Below are 23,076 nucleotides of genomic sequence, written 5' to 3' on the forward strand. Positions count from 1 at the left end.
AGGAAAATAAGAGAAAATCTAGTTTTGGTAAACATATTTTCTGTTTTCAAAGTCAGTGATTTTTTTATTTTTACTAATTACTGTCATTGATTTTAGAAGCTTTCCATGCACTGCAAATGTAAATCAACTTACAGAAAAGAAACAAGGTGTTAATTCCCAGTATAAAGAGTGAATGATTCAGTATTGTTTAAATGTTTCCTTGAGATTTAATTTCCTGTCCCCTTTTCTTCTCTACAGAATGCAGTAATAGTGGCCTTGTCTTCAAAATCATGGGATGTAGAGACTGCAACAGAATTGCTTCTGAGTAACTGAGGCATAGAGAGCTGCTGATATAGTCAAGCTTGCCTCTTCTTGAGGAGCACCAACATCTGTTATTTTTAGGATTCTGCATAGATTTCTTTTAAACTGGCATTCTTGCCTAATGATGTTATCTAGGCACCATTGGAGACTGAAAAAAAAAAATCCCTGCTCTGTAAATAAAGCTAATTAAACGTCTGTGTAAATTTAAAAAGGGGAAATACTTTAATTTTTTTTCTTAATAGTGTAAAAATTCCCTGAGCTAAGCTAAAACCATGGAAGAAACATGCTACTTTAGTGTTTAGCAGTGTACCAAGACTAGCAAGAGTTTGCTTCAGGATTTTGTTGAATAATTAAGATAATATTTTGAGTGTGTCAGGGCCATTCAAATTGTTGGTGTTGCATCACAGCTACCTTAACTGTTTTTAACATGGATCCTCTGTGCCTGTGAATTTACTTGCATGCTTGTACTTGACTTCTTAGGATGGGTAGCTGAAAAGACCACCATTTTAAGCATTTGAGAATTCTTAAATATGAAATTTATTCAGAATTGAAGATGGTGACCTATTCAGAGCCTTTTTGTCCTTGTCAACAGACTGGGACAGTGTCTGATTCCCCCTTCACCCCCCCCACCCCCGCCTTGCCACACACAGCTAATATTCTAATGGTAAATTTCTCTGTATCAGGTGGGGAAATGTGCTGAAGGACAGTATGTATCCCTTGCTTCATTTTTAGGTCGTAGGTTTGGAATGTCTTGTCCCAGTTCTTCAAACACTCTTAAATTTTTCTTAAGTAATGTAAAAATGGAACTGCCAATTTTATTTCTCTTGCAAAAATAGTAAATACTTGATGTTACATTATTCCCAGGTTTAATGAAAGAACCCAACTTAGTTTTTCAGTGAATTTGACACCTATTTTTTAGTGATGAAATTTTTCTTTGAGAACTGGCAAGGATGCAGTCAGCTGTTTGCAGTTTTTAGCCTGATTTTGGGGTCTATAGAGATTGCTTTATTGGATACTTCAAGTCATTCTTGCTTGCACTTCCCCTATTGACACATGAAAGCTGTGTTGGTGTTTTATTGTACATACTTCAGATGCACATAGGAATAGAAGTGTGTTATAAATCTAGCTTTCTTTATGATGTTTCTGATAATACGAGAATTGAAAACTTTACCTTCTCTTGTACATAGTCAGACTATTTGTATTAAATTTACATTTCATTCTAAGTTCAAAAGTTTGAAAATTATTAGTTTTGCAAGATCACACACTAATGTAACCATTTTATGAAGGTTGAAGTGGATTTATGCAGGCAGTTCTATATATAGAAATACAATTCTTTTTAAATTTTTAGGACCAATACAAAATAACAAAAATGTAATGGAATCAGACTGAATTAAAGTAAGGCTGTATATTGAAAGTCATATTATAAAAGGTTTGCTTTCTTTAAGTGTTATTTATCTTAAATTATAATCGTTAAATGTTTGGAAGATAATTTTTGAATCATAACGTCAGCATAACTTCATTTGACTTCTCAATAATCTTGATACTAGAAGCAATAAAAGAACCATTATTAAATATATTGTAATGTTAAAGATGTGAAGGTTCTTCCAAAAATTTGTAAGGCTTTCCTAATTAACAGTAAACTCTTATAGCTGATATTATTACATACTAAACACAAGTTGCTGTTTTTTCCCCATATGTTTGCTTACGCATGTCTTTATACAATCACCTCTTTTTATTGCTGTAGTTTATTTTCTAAAGATGCCAAAGGAAACAAGATTTTTCTTTATTTATTTTAAATACCTGAAACCTCGTACTTTATATTTTGAAGTAAGGTGGGATTGTGTGAAAATGTGGATGGTTTTTCTCCAGTGTTGGTTAGAACTACTTTTTTTAAGTGGAGGGCAACTTGGTAGTATTAGTAGAATTTGGGTTTAAAAATATCAGACACATCTACCCAGTTTATTTTTTGCCTGTATTATCAGGGTATATTTAATTGTCCTGTGGTTAAACAAAGGTGAGAGAGCTCAGAGGTTTCTAAAGGTCAAGCATTTTACATATATACATACATACATGCTCTTGGAGGCAGCTATATCCTGCTTTGATTTTTATGCACATGAGCCCTATAGGGTTATATACTCATCTAACTACACTTCAGCATCCCCAGTGCCCAAGAAATTGGAAAGTACAATATTTGGTTTGAGACATTCTTCATAAAAGATTCTTTATTATAAAAATTTACCTCATTTACATTTAATGTGATGATCTTTTTTTTCCTTTCTGGTATATTTCCCACTGTACTGTTTGGTTTTTGTTATTCTCTTGTCTGTGGGTAGATTTAGTTACCCAAACATAGAAACTAAAGCAATTGCTTTTTTCCTCTGGTCTTAAATATGTTTGGACAAAAAGACACTAAAAGGTCAGGCCTAGGGGAAAAGTACCCTGGTGGAAATTATTTTTGTAATTCTTAATATTTTTGAGTTGGCTCCGTTTGTCAGTTTTAAAAGCCTCAAAAATTATGTTAAAAAAAAAATCCAGTGAAATCCCATTTAGGGCAGGCCGATTTGTTAGAAGTCACTGATGCTCCAGTAGGCTTTTGTTATAATCAGGCCTGTTTCCTGAGTATGTGCCTCTTTTAAAAGAAGAAATAATTAGCTGTATAGTATTTCAGTACTGATGAATGAATGAATGAATGAATGGCAGTTAGTGGACCCAAATAAGTATTCAGTGGTATATAAATATTTGAGGAACTAGGTACTGAATTAGGTGCTCTGAGTTGGCACCCCGAAATGTTTGGAATCACGACTATGATTTACTTAAACACGTAACACATTCAAGGATATATAAATGGAGTCTAAGTATTTTGCTTTTGAAGAGAATAATCTATGAAATGGAAGACTTGATTTTTTTTTTCATTTTTTAGAAGTAATACACATTTATGATTGTTGGCACATAAAACTATGCAAAATAATTCTTTTTAAGTATCTGTAAGAAAGAATTGGCAGTTTAAACGGATTTTGCTTATTTATGCACTACAGAATGCAGCATACTGTATTACTGTTGAGGCTGCTTAATAAGTTTACCAATGTGAAAAGCAGATCTTGGGTATAAGTGTATGCCTGATTTGAGCTTTTAAAACTGTGCAGTAGGTGTATGGTAATGTTTTACAATCCTATGTAGCAAAATAGGAAATTATGAATTTTTGTTGTTATTGTTTTAAAGATTTAAGATGGATTGGGGTAGGGAACAGCTGGAGCCAGGTATACCTTCTAGTATGTAGAGGGAAACAATGTTTAGATAGGAAAAAGGAAGCCGTCTGTTTACAGTTAACTTTATTTCATGGACTTCTACAAAATGTTGTATTAATCACTTTTTCTAGTTCAAGGAATTTCAATTCCAGGGTACAAACCATTGATTTAAAAATTACGTTTCCATTCTTTTTAGTATCAGTTTAAAGTAAATGCTTACCATCAGCCAGTTGCTGTCACTGGGAAGAAGGCAACTTGAAGTATTTACTGATAAAATAGCCTTTATTCCCAAGTGTGACTTTTCTTCAGTGTCTACATATTATGTCACACGTTCTATTTGCACTGCTGCAATATAGATCAAAGATCTTGTGGCATAGGGGTAGGGGAGTGTTAGTATCTCCCTTGTCCCATTTGTTCTGTTACTGCTTCATTGGACTGATACACCCTCATGAACTTGCAATCACCTAAATGGAAGTCTTGAATGTGTCACCTTTTGCTTGGTTATTTCAACCATGCTGCTATATATAATCAGGTGTGGCACAGTTTGTCAGTTTGATTATAGGTGTGAGTGGATAGAAATCATTACACTGTGCTGTTAACGATCCTTGTCTGCTTGCTGTTACCTACTTTTTACAGGCATCATAATAAAAGCTAGACTATTTCTTTGGGGGGAAAGAGACTTATTTAATGTAATTTAAAAAACTTTTCCAATAGAAAATGAAATATTATTGAAAATAATATCTATTTTTTAGCTTTCAGCAATTGATGGTGCTTTGTTGTGGTGTCTGCTGGAAGTCTACTGCCATTATAGGGAACCTTGCTTGTTAGCTTCTCTAGATCTCTATTCTAAACAATCTGTTAGTGATGATAAATTCTGTAGGAGGGTCTATTCTGAGCCGTTAACTTCCTGTAAGGGGAAAATGGGTGGGTTACCAGAAATACCATTGAAGCAGGGTGGGCTGTGGGGTGGAAGGTTGGGGTATTTGTCTTGAGAATTAAAAACTACGAAACACTTTTGTACACAACTGATTTTTTAAAAAATAAACACATTTTTAAAGATGTTGAATTTTTCCCCCCTTATTGGGAATTCTTAAAAATAAATGCATGCATGTTTTCCCCTGAAAATGGTTTATATCTTATTTCTGGGTGCTCATCTGTGGACAAGCAATTAAGTCTTACTCTAAATAAGAACCAGGCAGATATTTCTCCTTCACAAATTTCATAGTGATTGACATATAAATGCAGTAAGTTGTATCAGATCTTTGAATTTAAAAACATTGAAATTTAGTTCTAATTAAATTTACTAAAAGAACATATTTGCTTAGGTTCTAATCCAAAATTTAGAGTAATTAAGAGTTAGTTAAGTAATACTTTGTATTCTGTTTCCATATATGCTTTCTGGAAAGTTGCTCGGTACTGTCAAAAAGACTGAATTGTTTCAGAAAGTCCAGGGTTTAATCCCAGCTTTTACTCAAGAGCAGAGAGCCTGGACTTTTCTGAGCCTCAGTTTCCTCATCTAGGTAAGATATTTGCCCAGTACTTCGTAGCGTGTTGGTGAAGATCAAATTAAATGATTGATGTAGCTATAAAACTACTTAATTGTATAGACGTTAATATAATTCTAACACTAAATTTTGGCTAAACTATGAAAGTATTACTCTGTTCCTAATCTGAAACCACCAAGAGGATACCTTGTTTGAAAATTGTGGTTTGGCAAAGTAGCTATTTTTTGTTATGTCTGACTATTTCAAAGGTCCATTGATTGGTTATTATCTGTAGATTGACCCTTCCTCCATAAATGCTGATAATTAGAAGACACTTTGTCAGGGTTTGTACAAATTATTTTACATGGCAAAACTGATCGTGTCTTTATGGTATTTGTAACCAACTCACAGCAGGCCTATAGGTTTCTTTGCCAAGAAATGGAATTCCTCCTGACCTGGAATATCAATATAAAGTGTTCTTTTTGTGGAGTAAGACTGGGTCTTTAGGTACTAAAAATCCAGGATAACAAATAGAATTCAAAGCTGGGTGTGGTGGCTCACACCTGTAATCCCAACACCTGGGGGGGCAGAGGCAGGTGGATCATCTGAGGTCAGGAGTTAGAGACAAGCCTGGCCAACATGGTTAAACCCCATCTCTACTAAAACCAAATATTAGCTGGGCATGGTGGTGCGCGCCTGTAATCCCAGCTACTCTGGAAGCTGAGGCAGGAAAATTGCATGAAAACCTGGGGAGCGGAGATTGCAGTGAGCCAAAATTGCACCACTGCACTCCAGCCTGGGCAACAGAGTGAGAATTTAAGGAGCTCTCATGCCCTGGCAATAGATACTCAAATTTAAAGAGCATCAGACATTTGGCACTTGTTTTGTTTTGATCATCAGTGAATTAGTTTTCCAGTGAATAATATGAAAATTATTAAGGATAACTTTCTTAAGGTATCAGATAAAGTCAAATGGCAAAGTTTGCAAAATGACACAAATTCAGGATAATTGCTGAAGTGATTATTAGCTGGAGCATGGTTGATTATCTTTGCCAGTGTGGTGGCTCACAACTGTAATCCCAACACTTTCGGAGGCTAAGGAGGGAGGATCACTTAAGCCCAATTGGAGGCTGCAGTGAGCCATGATCCACCACTGCACATCAGAATGGGCAACAGAACAAGACCCTGCCTCCAAATAAAATTAAAAAAAAAAAAAAATTATTCCAGTCCTGGTATGGTGGCTCACGCCTGTAATCCCAACACTTTGGGAGGCTGAGGTGGGTGGATCACAAGGTCAGGAGTTCGAGACCAGCCTGACCCACATTGTAAAACCTCGTCTCTACTAAACATACAAAACAAAAATTAGCCGGGCGTGGTGGCGCGCGCCTATAATCCCAGCTACTCTGGAGGCTGAGGCAGGAGAATCACTTGAATCCGGGAGGTGGAGGTTGCAGTGAGCTGAGATTGCACCATTGCATTTCAGCCTGGGCGACAGGGCGAGACTCTGTCTCAAAAAAAAAAAAAAATTAGGCCAGGCGCAATGGCTAACGCCTGATCCCACCTGTAATCCCAGCACTTTGGGAGGCCGAGGGGTCACCTGAGGTCGGGAGTTTTACACCAGCCTGGCCAACATGGCGAAACCCCGTCTCTACTAAAAATACAAAAATTAGCTGGGCATGGTGGCAGGCACTTGTAATTCCAGCTACCCGAGAGGCTGAGGCAGGAGAGTCACTGGAACCCGGGAGGCAGAGGCTGCAGTGAGCCGAGATCGTGCCATTGCACTCCAGGCTGGGCAACAAGAGTGAAACTCCGTCTCAGAAAAATGACTGTTATTCCAAATAAACTCATTGCTTTTAAAAAGTCAGTAGTAAGAGTTCATAGTGAAAAAAACTAATTCTCTACCAAACTTTACTACTAGTACACAGAACAGTTTTTAAATAATGGATTTTTGTTTTTAGGTTACCTCCAGGTCACTAAATAATATGCTTATTCCTGTTTAAGTAACTCATTTCTGTTCTGTCAGTTACACCTAGTTATCTCTTGACTCCATGTTTTTATCCCCAACTTTATCTTCACTCAGCAATGGAGTTTAGGTTAAAGGAGGGCTGTCAATGCAGAAAACCTTGAGAAAATCACATGGTTTTGGGGGCAAGTATGTATAGTTAAGGGGCATCCACTCACTGAAGTAAAATTGCTTTGGACTGAGGGCAGAGGAAAGGAAAATGAGTAACTGCAACAAGGGGACTATGGTACCTAGATAAAGGTAGTAATTAGAAGATTAAGAGATAGGCTGGGTGCCGTGGCTCATGCCTGTAATCCCAACACTTTGGGAGGCCAAGGCAAGTGGATCACTTGAGGTCAGGAGTTCAAGACCAGCCTGGCCAACATGGTGAAACCCTGTCTCTACTAAAAATATAAAAATCAGGCCGGGCGCAGTGGCTCATGCCTGTAATTTCAGTACTTTGAGAGGCTGAGGCGGGCAGACTACATGAGGTCAGGAATTCGAGACCAGCCTGGCCAACATGGTGAAACCCTGTCTCTACTAAAAATACAAAAATTGTAGACGAGTGTGGTGACGTGCGCCTGTAGTCTCAGCTACTTGGGAAGTTGAGACAGGAGAATTGCTTGAATAGGCAGAGGTTGCAATGAGCCAAGATTGTGCCACTGCACTCCAGCCCACTCCAGCCTGGGAGACAGAGTGAGACTCCGTTTCAAAATAAAAATAAAAATACAACAGTCAGCCAAGTGTGGTGGTGGGCATCTGTAGTCCCAGCTACTCTGGCGGCTGAGTCAGGAGAATCGCTTGAACCCCAGGAGCGGAGGTTGCAGTGAGCCAAGATCATGCTACTGCACTTCAGCCTGGGCAACAGTGAGAGTTCGAGACCAGCCTGGCCAACATGGTGAAACTCCATCTGTACTAAAAATACAAAATTAGTCGGGCTTGGTGGTGTGCGTCTGTAGTCCCAGCTACTCGGGAGACTGAGGCAGGAGAATCGCTTGAACCCGGGAGGTGGAGGTTGCAGTGCGCTGAGATCGCGCCACTGCACTCCAGCCTGGGCGACAGAGCAAGACTGTCTCAAAAAAAAAAAAAAGATTAAGAGATAGGCGAGAGAGATTATAAAAAGAACAAAAAGGCAAGGTGTGGTAAAAGAAAATCAGGTTATGAACCTATTGAGGGCAGAGTAGGAAGGATAAAAGTGCCTATGTGGGAAGATTCTGTGTAGAGAGTACAGCTAAAAATCTTGGCCCCAAATGCTTTGTTAATCCTTTTAATTTGTTAAAAATCATTAAAGGGTCGGGCGCAGTGGCTCATGCCTGTAATCCCAGCGATTTGGGAGGCCGAGGTGGGCGGATCACCTGAGGTCGGGAGTTCGAGACCAGCCAGGCCAGCATGGTGAAACCCTGTCTCTACTAAAAATACAAAAATTTAGCTGGGCATGGTGGCAGGCGCCTGTAATCCCAGCTACTCAGGAAGCGGAGGCAGGAGAATCGCTTGACCCCAGGAGGCGGAAGTTGCAGTGAGCCACGATCACGCCATTGCACTCCAGCCTAGGCAACAGAGGGAGACTCCATCTCAAAAATAAATAAATTGTTAAAGTCCAGTTGATTAAAATGTTGCCAGTACTGCTTTCTGTCCCCTATTCAGTGCAGTAAAACTCTCTTCAGGCTCATGCCTGTAATCCCAGCACTGTGGGAGGCTGAGGCAGGTGGATTGCTTGAGCCGAGGAGTTAAGACCAGCCTGGGAAACATGCTGAAATTCTGTCTCTACAAAAAAATTAGCCAAAAATTAGTCGGGCAGGGTGATGGTCGCCTGTAGTCCCAGGTACTCAGGAGACTGAGATGGGAGGATCACCTGAGCCCAGGAGGTCGAGGCTACAATGGGCAGTGATTGCATCACTGCACTCTAGCCTGGACAAAGTGCAAAGCAAGACCCTGTCTCCAAAAAAGAAAACTCTTCACTGGGCCTTTTCTCTTTGGGAAGCTTCCTCTTTTCCCAAGGGTAACTTATTGTACTCTTTACTACTTTCCATTGTCTTATTTCAGTTTTTTTTTTTCCTTCATCTAGATGTTCTTCCCTTCAGTACTTCATCCCCTAAACTATTTAAATATGTTTGTGTATTTCTCCTCTTTTCCCTACTCTGTTTCCCATCGCATTTGAAAAATACTGCATCCTGAATAGATTGCTTCCTTATCCTTTTCTTTTCTTTTCTTTTCTTTTTTTTTTTTTGAGACGGAGTTTGCTCACGTTTCCCAGGCTGGAGTGCAATGGCTCGATCATGGCTCACCACAACCTCCACCTCCCGGGTTCAAGCGATTCTCCTGCCTCAGCTGGGATTACAGGCATGTGCCACCATGCCTGGCTAATTTTTTATTTTTAGTAGAGACGGAGTTTCTCCATGTTGGTCTTGAACTCTTGACCTCAGGTGATCCCGCCTGCCTCGGCCTCCCAAAGTGCTGGGATTTACAGGTGTGAGCCACCATGCCTGGCCCCTTTTCTTGTTCTTTGTCTCTTACAGTTTGGGCCTGGCCTGCATCATGATACTAAAATTGGTCTGAAAATTCTGCTGCCCTTCCAGATTATGATGACTGGCATTGTCAAACTAAGAACTCAGGTTTTCTCTCTTAAACTGCTTGCTTTGCTTTTATTTTCCTAAGCAATTTTAGTAATAAAAATGTGCTCATTTCAGAAATCATAAGCTGTATGAATTCACTTAGTATTCTGAAGTATTCTTTCAGTGTACTATTTTTAGCTCAGTAAAAGTGAGCTAATACTCCAGCTGGGCATATAATTGTTAATATTCATCTTTTAAAAACATGGAAATTATAGTTCTTTAAAGTTTCTTTACATAAACATTTGAATGACTATAAGGAGACCATTGAGTAGGGCTGCCATATTTTATGGCAGTTAACCTATTAGGTATCTAGATTGTTTCTGATTTTTCTCTATTACAATATTGGTCCATGGACTTCTGATTAAACATGGTGGATAGCACAAATGTTTTAATACTATAGTTGTGTCTTGAGACTTAAGCAAAATGACATTTAGAGATACAAAGCTCTAAGGACAAAGAATGGTAGATAAAAGGTCAAAATACTTTTAGAAGATGGAAAGTGGACGGAAAATATGTACTGACATAGTACAGTAGAGCAAGTTCAAACCTAATTGTAGGAATACTGATTAGAAGCAAGCCAGTTTACTCCTTACAACTTAGAACTAGACAGTGGAGAAAAACAGGCCCTACAGAATGACTGAGAATGGAGATTGGTTAAAAGTTTGTATTCTTAGGCCGGGCTTGGTGGCTCAAGCCTGTAATCCTAGCACTTTGGGAGGCCGAGGTGGGCGGATCACGAGACTAACACGGTGAAACCCCGTCTCTACTAAAAACACAAAAAATTAGCCGGGCGTGGTGGTGGGCGCCTGTAGTCCCAGCTACTTGGAAGGCTGAGGCAGGAGAATGGCGTGAACCCGGGAGGCGGAGCTTGCAGTGAGTCGAGATCGCGCCACTGCACTCCAGCCTGGGCGACAGAGCGAGACTCCGTCTCAAAAAAAAAAAAAAAAAAAAAGTTTGTATTATTTCTACCCAGTGAGATAGGTAACTAGGTTACTACTGTGCTCTTAACATGGAAGGAAAAGTGCTCTTTGAGAATTTGAAACAGAAATCTTCAGACTGAGAAATGCCAGGCATAAACTGAAAATGAAGATCAACTAATTATACAGGATGGTAGATTTTTAGTTTCTACAATGCTTAAAGTTACGTCTCAGGGAGGAGGAAGAAAGATCCTTTTCTATAGAAATTCGGTGTTCCCAGAGAAAAGAACTTCAAAGGGATTCAGACTTTAGAAGAGAAGTTTTTCCAATGAGAAAGCTAAGTTTTCACCCAGTGAATTCCAAAACATGGCAACTTTAAGTTTCACTAGATTTTTAAAGATTGTTTCCCAGCACTAACAACCAAGATCAAAATAGTTTCAACTACAGGGAGAAGAAAACCTGAAAATACAACCGTCTTCAAAGGTAAAATACTACGTCTGTGGGGAAAAAAAAAAAAAAAGAGCTAAATGAATTGGGAATAAGAATGGCATCAACTTTCTCAACAACATGTGAAACTACAAGACAAGGAAGCAATGACTTCTAAGTTCTGAGTGAGGCCAAGCGTGGTGGCTCATGCCTGTAATCCCAGCACTTTGGGAGGCCGAGGCAGGAGGAGTGTTAGAGGCCAGGGGTTCAAGATCAGCTTGGGCAACATAGTGTTGCCTGAGAAACACCACACCTGTTTTCTGTTTGTTTGTTTTTTGGCAACATCTCTGCCAAAACAAAACAAAACAAAACAAAACAAAAAAAACACCAGGTGTGGTGTTGCTCAGGCAAGAGGATCTCTCGAGACCAGGAGATTGTGCTCGAGGAGCCATGATTGTGCTACTGCACCCCAGCCTGGATAACAGAGTGAGACCCTGTCTCTTAAAAAATAAATATATAAAAAATTAAGTTTTGAGTGAAAAGTTAGATATTGTCAGATACTCAAGATCTCAAATTTTGTCTTCCATTTGGATTTTCTCAGGAAGCACCTGAGTGATACACTCCTCCAAAATGGAGGAGAGTAAGTCATGCAAATGAAACGGGATACAACACAGGAGCTGGCTATTTCTGGGGTGAATGAAGTCCAGAATGCCAGTTGTGCAGCAGCCTTACATGCAGCCATTCTCGTCCATAGGACCAGAACTGTGAAATACTCCAGAATGGAGATCAACAAAATAAATTGATGATAGGTTATCACATACATCTTATGTGTGTAATTACATTGCGATGAAGTGCAAAGAAGGAATTAGCAAAACTAGGAAGAACTAGTAGAAAAAGAAAACTAATCAAATAGCAAAAGATGTAAAGAAGCATTTTTACACCAACATGGCACATGTATACGTATGTAACAAACCTGCACGTTGTGCACATGTACCCTAAAACTTAAAGTATAATAATAATAAAATTAAAAAAAAACATTTTTAGTAAGCTCATTAAGCAACCAATAATTAGTCATAATGTAAGAAGAATGGAAGTTGGGGTGGACCATGTAAAAGAACCAAGTAAGTACTCAACTACCTTCAAAAAGTATGTTTTAAATGCAGTGAATAAAAGTAGGGCAGGGCGCGGTGGCTTACGCCTGTAATCCCAGCACTTTGGGAGGCTGAGGCAGGCGGATCACGAGGTCAGGAGATCGAGACCATCCTGGCTAACATAGTGAAACACCATCTCTACTAAAAATACAAAAAAATTAGCCGGGTGTGGTGGCGGGCGCTTGTAGTCCCAGCTACTCCGGAGGCTGAGGCAGGAGAATGGTGTGAACCTAGGGGGCGGAGCTTGCGGTGAGCCGAGATTGTGCCACTGCATTCCAGCCTGGGCGACAGAGAGAGACTCTGTATCAAAAAAAAATATATATATATAGATATCTATATATAATATATATGTATATATATAGATATCTATATATCTATATATATACACACAAAAATTAGCTGGGTGTGGTGGTGTGCACCTGTAATCCCTGCTACTCAGGAGGCTGCTGTGAAAGGATCACCTGAGCCCAGGAGGTCCAGGCTGCAGTAAGCTGCGATCGCACCACTGCACTTCAGCCTGGGAGAGCCTGTCTCAAAAAATAAAGTACAATACAGGCCAGGCACAGTGGCTTATTCCTGTAATCTCAGCACTTTGGGAGGCCGAGGTGTAAGGATACGTTGAGGCCAGGAGTCCAAGACCAGACTGGGCAACAAAGCGAGACTCTACAAAATTAAAATTTTTTAAATACAGTATACAGTACATTGGGACATATTGTACACAGTATACATAATTTTTGCCAATTATATACCTCAATAAAGCTGGAGAAAAAAGTGTCTAATTCAATGACTTTTAGTATATTCATGAAGTTGTGTATCTATCACCACTATCAACTTTAGAAATTTTCATTACTTGAAAAAGAAACCCAACATCCCTTAGCAGTCATGCTTTTGTTTTTTAAAATAATATTTTTAGCAATATTTGACTTTTAAAATGTATATATTCCTTTGATAAAACAAAAAATAATGCCGTCTTAAACCACTGTATGCATTTCAGATTATTTCCTTAAGGGCACTCTTCAGAACCTTCCTTTATTGCCAGTATTTCCCCATCATGTTGTACTAGTAAATATTACCACTCATGGCCGGGCACAGTGGCTCATGCCTGTAATCCCAGCACTTTGGGAGGCCGAGGCGGGCGGATCACCTGAGGTCTGGAGTTCGAGACCAGCCTGACCAACATGGTGAAACCCCCGTCTCTACTAAAAATACGAAAAATTAGCCTGGCGTGGTGGCGGGCACCTGTAATCCCAGCTACTCGGAAGGCTGAGGCAGGAGAATCGCTTGAACCTGGAAGGCGGAGGTTGCAGTGAGCAGAGATCGCGCCACTGCACTCCAGTTTGGGCAACAAGAGCAAAACTCTATCTCAAAAAAAAAAAGTATATATATACATATATATATATACACACACATATATATATACACACATATATACACATATATATACATATATATGCATATATATGTATATATATATAACCATTCATGTATATAAAAGGTTCACACTACTCATGGCAAATATAAGTATTCTCTTCAAAAATACTCATATGGCTGGACATGGTGGGTTTATACCTATAATCCCAGCACTTTGGGAGACTGAGGTGGGAGGATTGCTTGAGCCCAAGAATTTGAGACCAGCCTGGGCAACATAATGAGACCTCATCTCTAAAAATATTTTAGAAATTAGCTGAGGATGGTGGACCACGCCTGTAGTCCAGCTACTATGGAGACTGAGGTGTGAGGATTGCTTGAGCCTGGGAGGTCAAAGCTACAGTGAGCTGTGAGGGCGCCACTGCACTCCTGCCTGGGCGACAGAGCAAGACCCTGTCTTTAAAAAAAAAAAAAGTTCATATGAAGGTGAAAGTAATGGGGATTTGTGTTTAAGTGAAGATTTGGTGTGGTTGAATGTATCAGATGGCATTTTCAGTATGGCATATTATTTCATTGAATCCTTCAAACAAATTGAGTACTTTTTTTATTACAGTCTTTTTACAATTGAAGAAATAGTAATATACAACTCACCAGAACTCAACAAAGCATAACCTGACCAAACCAGGTTTCAAACTTCCTGAAACCAAAACTCTTGCTACCCGGCCGGGCACAGTGGTTCACGCTTGTAATCCCAACACTTTGGGAGGCCGAGGGGGCAGATCACTTGAGCTGAGGAGTTCAAGACCAGCCTGGGCAAAATAGTGAGACCTTTTCTCAAGAAAAAAATTTTTAAAAGAGCCAGGTGTGATGGCGTGCACCTGTAGTCCCAACTACTTGGAAGGCTGAGGTGGTGGGACTGCTTGGGCACGGGACATCAAGGCAGCACTCCATGTGTGCAGAGGATTGTGGCCTCTGCACTCCAGCCTGGATGACATAATGAGAGCCTGTCTCCCCCCCCCAAAAAAAAAAGAAAAAAAAGAATTAACTGAAAATTGGAATTATTCCCACCCTGCATGATTATCTTACAGTCACACTGCTCTTAATCAGCCTTTTAGTGCCTCACTCTTAACCATAAGGGGAACTAAGATTAAAACTTTGAGAAGACCAGCCTGGGGAACATGGCAAAAACCCATCTCTACAAAAAATACAGGAAATTATCCAGGTGTGGTGGTGGTGTGCGCCTGTGGTCCCAGCTACTAGGGAGGCTGAGATTGGAGGATCACTTGAGCCTGGGAAGTCGAGGCTGTGGTGAGGTGAGATGTTGCCACATCACTTCAGCCTGGGTGACAGAGCAAGACTCTATCTCATAAAAAAAAAATTAAAAAAAAAATTTTTTTTAGAAGAGCCTTCAACATAAAAGAAACCAAGACGAAAAATAACCTGGATGAAACTTAATCTAGGGATCAGAATTATTAAAACAAAAATCTAGGCTGGGCGCCGTGGCTCACGCCTGTAATCCCAGCACTTCGGGAGGCCGAGATGGGCGGATCACGAGGTCAAGAGTTCAAGACCAGCCTGACCAACATGGCGAGACCCTGTCTCTACTGAAAATACAAAAGAAATTACTGGGTGTGGTGGTGGGCGCCTGTAATCTCAGCTGCTCGGGAGGCTGAGACAGGAGAATCGCTTGAATCCTGGAGGCAGAGGTTGCAGTGAACCGAGATCTAGTTATTGACATCAAAGAAGTCATTGGGCCCATATAGAAACAGGATGCTATAAAAAGGAATTTTAAGAAAATAAGACTGTTAGGAATTCTATAAATTTCTTCTCCAACCCTTCCTTCCTTCCTTCCTTCCTTCCTTCCTTTCCCTTCCTTCCTTCCTTCCCCTTCCTTCCTTCCTTCCTTTCCTGACGGAGTCTTGCTCTGTCGCCCAGGCTGGAGTGCAGTGGTGCGATCTTGGCTCGCTGCAATCTGCCGGGTTCAAGCGGTTCTCCTGCCTCAGCCTCCCAAGTAGCTGGGACTACAGGCGCCCGCCACCACGCCTGGCTAACTTTTTGGCCAGGATGGTCTCGAACGCCTGACCTTGTGATCTGCCCACCTCGGCCTCCCAAAGTGCTGGGATTACAGGCGTGAGCCACCGCACCTGGCCTCCAACTTTATTTCTGTCCTGACAGGATTTAAGGGAGACCCACAGCATTCCTTGTAGGGAATAGGGGGTATAGTCTTATCTATATGGATAGACCACTATGAAAATGTTACCCACTTTACCAATGCCTAGGGGACTAATCATGCTTTTCATCTCAATTTACCTCGGTCACTCACTTCAGTATTTTCCGGTTATTTGGCATAAAACTCTGTATTTTCTTTTTTTTTTTTTTGATGGAGGGGCTGGTGGACAAGGTCTCACTCTGTTGCTCAGGCGGGAGTGCAGTGGAACCATCAGGGCTCACTGTAGCCACGACCCCAGGCTCACGTGATCCTCCCATCTCAGCCCCCTCAAGTAGCTGGGACTACAGGCACACACCACATATCCCTGGCTAATTTTTCATTCGTTAATTTTTGAGACAGAGCCGCATTCTGTTGCCCAGGCTAGAGTGCAGTGACTTGATGTCAGTTCACTGCAACCTCCACTTCCTGGGCTCAAGTGATCCTCCCATCTGAGCCTCCTGAGGAGCTGTGACTACAGGCGCACACCACAACAGGCTAATTTTTGTAGTTTTTGTAGAGATAGGGGTCTCACTATGTTGCTCAGGCTGGTTTCAAACTCCTGAGCTCAAGCAATCCACCGGCCTTGGCCTCCCAAAGTGTTGGGATTACAGGCGTGAGCCACTGCACCCTGCGTATTTCCTAATCTTTATCTAATCTTACTAACTGGCCCCCTATCTGCCTCCTTCCTCCATTCCCAAATTCTTAGGAACAGTCATGAGCAAAATTCCATGTAACTTTAACTTTTTTTTCTTTGTATGGAAACATGCTTTAATTTCTGTTGGGTAAACAGCTTGGAGTAGGTTGGGCGAGGTGGCTCACGGCTGTAATCCCAGCACTTTGGGAGGCCAAGGTGGGCGGATCACAAGGTCAGGAGATCCAGATCAGCCTGGCCAAAAAGGTGAAACCCCGTCTCTACTAAAAATACAAAAATTAGGCCCGGCGTGGTGGCTCACGCCTGTAATGCCAGCACTTTGGGAGGCCGAGGCTGGCAGATCACGAGGTCAGGAGATGGAGACCATCCTGGCTAACGCAGTGAAACCCCGTCTCTACTAAAAATACAAAAGAAAAAAAAAAATAGCTGGGCGTGGTGGCGGGCACCTACAGTCCCAGCTACTTGGGAGGCTGAGGCAGGAGAATGGCATGAACCCAGGAGGTGGAGCTTGCAGTGAGCCGAGATCACGCCACGGCACTCCAGCCTAGGCGACAGAGCTAGACTCCATCTCAAAAAAACAAAAACAAAAACAAAAAACAGCTTGGAGTAGAATGGCTATCACCACATCTCTTTATCCATTCAGTTTCTAACTCAAACATGACCATTCCCTGAAGCTACTGTTTCCACTAGAGCCTCTTCAGTTGGTGGCTATATATATTTTTTAATGTTGACAATCATGTCATGTATGAATAGAAGACTTTTACTTTTTTCTTGTCTTTCTTTCTTTCTTTGTTTTGTTTTGTTTTGTTTTGTTTTTTTTCAGAGATAGAGTCTTGCTGTGTTACCCAGCCTGGAGTGCAATGGCGTGATCATAGCTCATCATAACCTCAATCACTTAGGCTCAAGGGATCCTCCCACCTCAGCCTCCCAAGTAGCTAGGATTACAGGCATGCACTACCATGCCAGGCTAATTTTTTTTTTTTTTCTGTAGAGTGGAGTTCTTGCTTTGTTGCTCAGGGAGCTCTCGAACTCTTGGCCTCAAGCAGTCTTCCCACCTCAGCCTCCTAAACTACTGAGATTACAGGTGTGAGCCACTGCACTCCAGCCTGGCTAACAGAGTGAGACCCTGTCTCAAAATAAATACTTTATGTTGTTTAATTCTCAATATTAGGGGATTTTCCAGATGTTTTTGTCATTGATTTCTAATTCTGTTATAGCCTAAAAATATATTTTCCACGATTTTTTTTTAGGGACACTCAGCCTGGGGTTCAGTGGCATGATCATAGCTCACTGCAGCTGGGAACTCCTGGGCTCAAGCAGTCCTCTAACCTCAAGCATGAGCTATCATGTCAGGCTGAATTTTGTTATTTTTAATTTGTTAAGATTTGTTTTTTTGGCCGGGTGCGGTAGCTCACGCCTGTAATCCCAGCACTTTGGGAGGCCAAGGTGGGCGGATCACCTGAGGTCAGGAGCTCGAGACCAGCCTAGCCAACATGGTGAAACCCCGTCCCTACTAAAAATACAAAATTAGCCAGGTGTGGTGGTGGGTGCCTGTAATCCTAGCTACTCGGGAGGCTGAGGCAGGAGAATTGCTTGAACCCAGAAGGTGGAGGTTGCAGTGAGCCGAGATTGTAACACTGCACTCCAGCCTGGGCAACAAGAGCGAAAAGAACTCTATCTCAAAAAAAAGAAAAAAAGATTTGTTTTTTTACAACCTGGAATATGGTCTTTTTTTTTTTTTTTTTTTTTTTTTGAGACAGGGTCTCACTCTGTGTCACCCAGGGTATAGTGCAGTGGTGTGATCTTGGCTCACTGCAGCCTCTGCCTCCAGGGTTCCAGTAAGTCTTGTGCCTCAGCCTCCCGAGTAGCTGGGACTACAGGCACTAGCCACCCCATCCAGCTAATTTTTAAAACTTTTTTTGTAGAGGCCAGGTGCGATGGCTCATGCCTATAATCCCAACAGTTTGGGAGGCCAAGGTGGCGGATCACTTGAGGTCAGGAGTTCGAGACCAGCCTGGCCAACATGGTGAAACCCCGTCTCTACAAAAATACCAAAAAAAAAAAAAGGCCGGGTGCAGTGGCTCATGCCTGTAATCCTGACCCTTTGGGAGGCCAAGGCAGGTGGATCACCTGAGGTCAAGAGTTCGAGACCAGCCTGGCCAACATGGAGAGAACCCCATCTCTACTAAAAATACAAAAATTAGCCAGGGATGGTGGTGTGTGCCTGTAGTCCAGCTACTTGGGAGGCTAAGGCAGGAGAATCACTTGAACCTGGCAGGTGGAGGCTGCAGTGAGCCGAGATTGTACCACTGCACTCCACTCTAGCCTGGGTGACAGAGCAAGACTCTGTCTCAAAAAAGAATAAAGAAAAAAAATGTATAAGCTGACATTATTGGGTGGAGTATTCTGAGTGTCAGGTCACTTTAGTCGATAGTGATGTTGCTCAGGTCATCTATGGCCTTACTAATTTTCGTCCTGCTTCCTCTATCAATTACTGACAGGAATATTGACATCCTCAAATGTAATTGCAGATTTATGTATTTTCTTTTCAGGTATATTATTCTTTCTTTTTTTTGGGTGGAGTTTTGCTCTTGTTGCCCAGGCTGGAGTCCAATGGTGTGCTCTCGGCTCACTGCAACCTCCGCCTCCCAGGTTCAAGCGATTCTCCTGCCTCAGTCTCCCAAGTAGCTGGGATTACAGGCATGCGCCACCACGCCCGGCTAATTTTGTATTTTTTAGTAGAGACAGGGTTTCTCCATGTTAGTCAGGCCGGTCTTGAACTCCTGACCTCAGGTGATCCGCCCAGCTTGGCCTCCCAAAGTGCTAGGATGACAGGCATGAGCCACCACGCCTGGTCCAGATATATTATTCTTGCCTCAGTTGTTTGAGGTGCGTATACATTTAGGATTGTTCTTCTTAGATAATTGACCTCTTTTTTTTTTTTTTTTTTTTGAGACAGTGTCTCACTCTGTCATCCAGGCAGGAGTGCAGTGAGGCGATCTCAACTCACTACAGCTACAGCCTCGGCCTCCCAGGCTCAGGTGATACTCCCACCTCAGCCTCCCAAGTAGCTGGGACTACAGGCGCACACCACCAAGCCTGGCTAATTTTTTTTTTTTTTTTTGAGATGAAGTCTCGCTTGGTCACCCAGGCTGGAGTGCAGTGGCACAATCTTGGCTCACTGCAACCTCTGCCTCCAGGGTTCAAGCAATTCTTCTGCCTCAGGCTCCCGAGTAGCTGGGATTACAGGCACATGCCACCACACCCAGCTATTTTTTTGTATTTTTTAACAGAGATGGGGTTTCACCATGTTGGCCAGGCTTGCCTTGAACTCCTGACCTCAGGTCATCCACCTGCCTCGGCCTCTCAGTGCTGGGATTGCAGGCGTGAGCCACCGCGCCGGCCTCTACAAATTTTTGCAGAGGTGGGGTTTGGCCATGTTGCCTAGTATGGTCTGCAACTCCTGGGCTCAAGTGATCCACCTGCCTTGGCCAGACCTCTGTCATTTTCTTTTCTTTTTTTTTTTTGAGACAGAGTCTCCCTCTGTCACCCAGGCTGGAGTGCAGTGATGCAATCTTGGCTCACTGCACCCTCCGCCTCTGGGGTTCAAGTGATTTTCCTACCTCAGCCTCCCGAGTAGCCAGGACTACAGGCGCATACCACCACGCCAGGCTAATTTTTGGATTTTTAGTAGGCACAGGGTTTCACCATGTTGGCCAGGCTGGTCTCAAACTCCTGACCTCAGGCAATCTGCCTGCCTAGGCCTTCCAAAGTGCTGGGATTACAGGCATGAGCCACCTCACCAAGCCATGAGTCTTGCTTTTTAATTCAGTCTGACAATCTCTCTTTTAGCTGATGTGTTTAGACCATTTCCATGCTTTTTTTAGTAGCTTTTTTTTTTTTTTTTTTTTTTTTTTTTTTTTTTGGAGACAGAGTCTCACCCTCTCACCCAGGCTGGAGTGCAGTGGTATGATCTTGGCTCACTGCAAATTCCATCTCCTGGGTCCAAGTGATTCTCCTGCCTCAGCCTCCCTAGTAGCTGGGATTATAGGCATGTGCCAACATGGCTGGCTAATTTTTTTGCAATTTTAGTAGACACAGCGTTTCACCATATTGGCCATACTGGTCTTGAACTCCTGACCTCAGGTGATCCACCCGTCTGCCTCCCAAAGTGCTGGGATTACAGGCATGCGCTACTGCAGCCAGTCCCTAGTCCCTAGTCGCTATTATTATTATTATTATTATTTTTTTTTTTTGAGACGGAGTCTCGCTTTTGTTGCCCAGGCTAGAGTGCAATGTCACGATCTCGGCTCACTGCAGCCTCCATCTCCCGGGTTCAAGCAATTCACCTGCCTCAGCTTTCTGAGTAGCTGGGATTACAGGCCTGTGCCACCACGCCTGGCTAATTTCTGTATTTTTTAGTGGAGATGTGGTTTTATCATGCTGGCCAAGCTGATCTCGAACTCCCGACCTCAGGTGATCTGCCCGCCTTGGCCTCCCAAAGTGTTGGGATACAGGTGTGAGCCACTGCACCCAGTCCCTATTAGCTATTTTGGATCGCATGCCCCACATTAATGAAGATGGGACAGATACAGTCCTTGCTATTCATCTTTATGCAGCTTAGATTTCATAGGCCGTTACTGTAATAAGTTTCTTTTCCCTTGCTTCCTGACTGACCTTGCAAAATCTCAGTTCTCTGCCCAGTCAACTCCTATGCCTAAGTAGCAGAATTGTATGTCTCCCTGTTCACTCTCCGAGGTGACTATTTCACAACTTCTCTCATTTTGAATCCCCAACAACTTATTTGAATCCCTTACAGCTCATAAACCAATTTCTTACATTGCTAATAAATAGAAGCAAAGAGTGATGCATCTCATCATCAAATGTATCCTATCTGCACCAGTGGTCACATACTCTGTCTTCACTCGCTCTCTCATTTTTTTTTTTTTCCTGAGACGGAGTCTCACTCTGTTGCCCAGGCCGGAGTGCAATGGTGCCATCTCAGCTCACTGCAACCTCCGCCTCCGGAGTTCAAGCAATTCTCCTACCTCAGCCTCCTGAGTAGCTAGGATTATGAGCGTGCACCACCACGCCTGGCTAACTTTTTTGTATTTTTAGTAAAGACAGGAGGTTTCACCATGTTGGCCGGGCTGGTCTTGAACTCCTGACCTCGTGATCTGCCCACCTTGGCCTCCCAAAGTGCTGGGATTAGAAGCGTGAGCCACCGTGCTCAGCTTGTCTTCACTCTTGTCTCTTCAAGGACTTCACTCCTATAATTAATCCTTCTTTTTCTCCAGTATCGTTCATCTCTCTCTTTTTGCTTTAGCATACAAACATGCTATAATATCTCCACTTTAAAGAGAGAAAAGAAATTTTTGTACACTCCATGCCCTATCCAGTCTAGAATTTAATCTAACGCTGTCTTCCTCCAGAATCCATGCTTTTAACCACTGTGGTGGGACATTTCAAACTTATGTCTTTTTGTTTTGTTTTGTTTTTGAGATGGAGTCTCGCTCTGTTGCCCAGGCTGGAGTGCAGCGGCACGATCTCAGCTCACTGCCAGCTCCGCCTCCCGGATTCAGGCCATTCTCCTGCCTCAGCCTCCTGAGTAGCTGGGACTACAGGCGCCCGCTACCACGCCCGGCTAATTTTTTGTATTTTTAGTAGAGACGGGGTTTCACTGTGTTAGCCAGGATGGTCTCGATCTCCTGACCTCATGATCCGCCCGCCTCGGCCTCCCACAGTGCTGGGATTACAGGCGTGAGCCACCGCGCCCGGCAAATTTATGTCTTAGAAACAAATTCCTGGCTGGGTGCAGTGGCTCATGCCTGTAATCCTAGCACTTTGGGAGGCTGAGGCAGGTGGATCGTTTGAGCCCAAGAGTTTGAGACCAGCCTGGACAACACGGCGAAACCTTGTCTCTACAAAAAATACAAAAATTAGCCGGGAGTGGTGGCGGGCACCTGTAGTCCCAGATACTCAAGAGGCTGAGGTGGGAGGGTCACCTGAGCCTCGGTGGTTGAGGCTGTGGTGAGCCATGATTGTGCCACTGCACTCCAGCCTGAATGACAGAGTGAGACCCTGTCTCAAAAAAAAAAAAAAAAAAAAAAAAAAAAAAGGCCGAGGTGGGTGGATCACCTGAGGTCAGGAGTTTGAGACCAGACTGGCCACATAGTGAAACCCGTCTCTACTAAAAAACAAAAAATTAGCTGGGCATGATGGCGGACGCCTGCAATCCCAGCTACTCAGGAGCCTGAGGCAGGAGAATCGTTTAAACCTGGGAGGTGGAGGTTGCAGGGAGCCGAGATCATGCCACTGCACTCCAGCCTGGGCGACAGAGTGAGACTCCAACTCCAAAAAAAGGAAAGAAAAAAACAAAACCTGGCCGGGCGTGGTGGCTCACGCCTGTAATCCCAGCACTTTGGGAAGTTGAGGAGGGCGGATCACCTGAAGTCGGGAGTTCAAGACCAGCCTGACCAACATGGAGAAACCCCCGTCTCTACTAAAAATACAAAATTAGCTGGGGTGGTGGCGCATGCCTGTAATCCCAGCTACTCGGGAGGCTGAGGCAGGATAATCTCTTGAACCCGGGAGGCGGAGGTTGTGGTGAGCCGAGATCACACCACTGCACTCCAGGCTGGGCAATAAGAGTAAAACCCTATCTCAAAAAAAAAAGAAAGGAAGAAACAAGGAAAAAAAAAACAAAAACCT

At 42.6% G+C, this 23,076-nt stretch overlaps 1 protein-coding gene across 9 annotated transcripts in view, besides 2 other annotated features; it reads left to right on the forward strand.

Annotated features, from left to right (window-relative positions):
• UBE2K (ubiquitin conjugating enzyme E2 K) overlaps positions 1-4,670 on the forward strand; it is an 84,657-nt gene extending 79,987 nt beyond the window's left edge. For all 9 annotated transcript variants that reach the window (NM_005339.5, NM_001111112.2, NM_001312646.2 and 6 more), the window contains one exon: positions 238-4,670. In NM_005339.5, the coding sequence (NP_005330.1) occupies positions 238-312 (75 nt within the window). In that variant the 3' untranslated portion in view covers positions 313-4,670. The remainder of the gene's footprint in view (positions 1-237) is intronic.
• Positions 7,955-8,456: an enhancer, noted in NCBI's record as "H3K4me1 hESC enhancer chr4:39787697-39788198 (GRCh37/hg19 assembly coordinates)". NCBI's record gives its function as "activates a minimal SCP1, AML or CMV promoter by ChIP-STARR-seq in naive H9 embryonic stem cells {active_cell/tissue: H9 hESC(naive)}" and the evidence as "EXISTENCE:reporter gene assay evidence [ECO:0000049][PMID:30033119]".
• Positions 8,457-8,956: an enhancer, noted in NCBI's record as "H3K4me1 hESC enhancer chr4:39788199-39788698 (GRCh37/hg19 assembly coordinates)". NCBI's record gives its function as "activates a minimal SCP1, AML or CMV promoter by ChIP-STARR-seq in naive H9 embryonic stem cells {active_cell/tissue: H9 hESC(naive)}" and the evidence as "EXISTENCE:reporter gene assay evidence [ECO:0000049][PMID:30033119]".

This window comes from Homo sapiens, chromosome 4 (genome assembly GCF_000001405.40).
Source record: "Homo sapiens chromosome 4, GRCh38.p14 Primary Assembly".
Classification (NCBI taxonomy): Eukaryota; Metazoa; Chordata; class Mammalia; order Primates; family Hominidae; genus Homo; species Homo sapiens.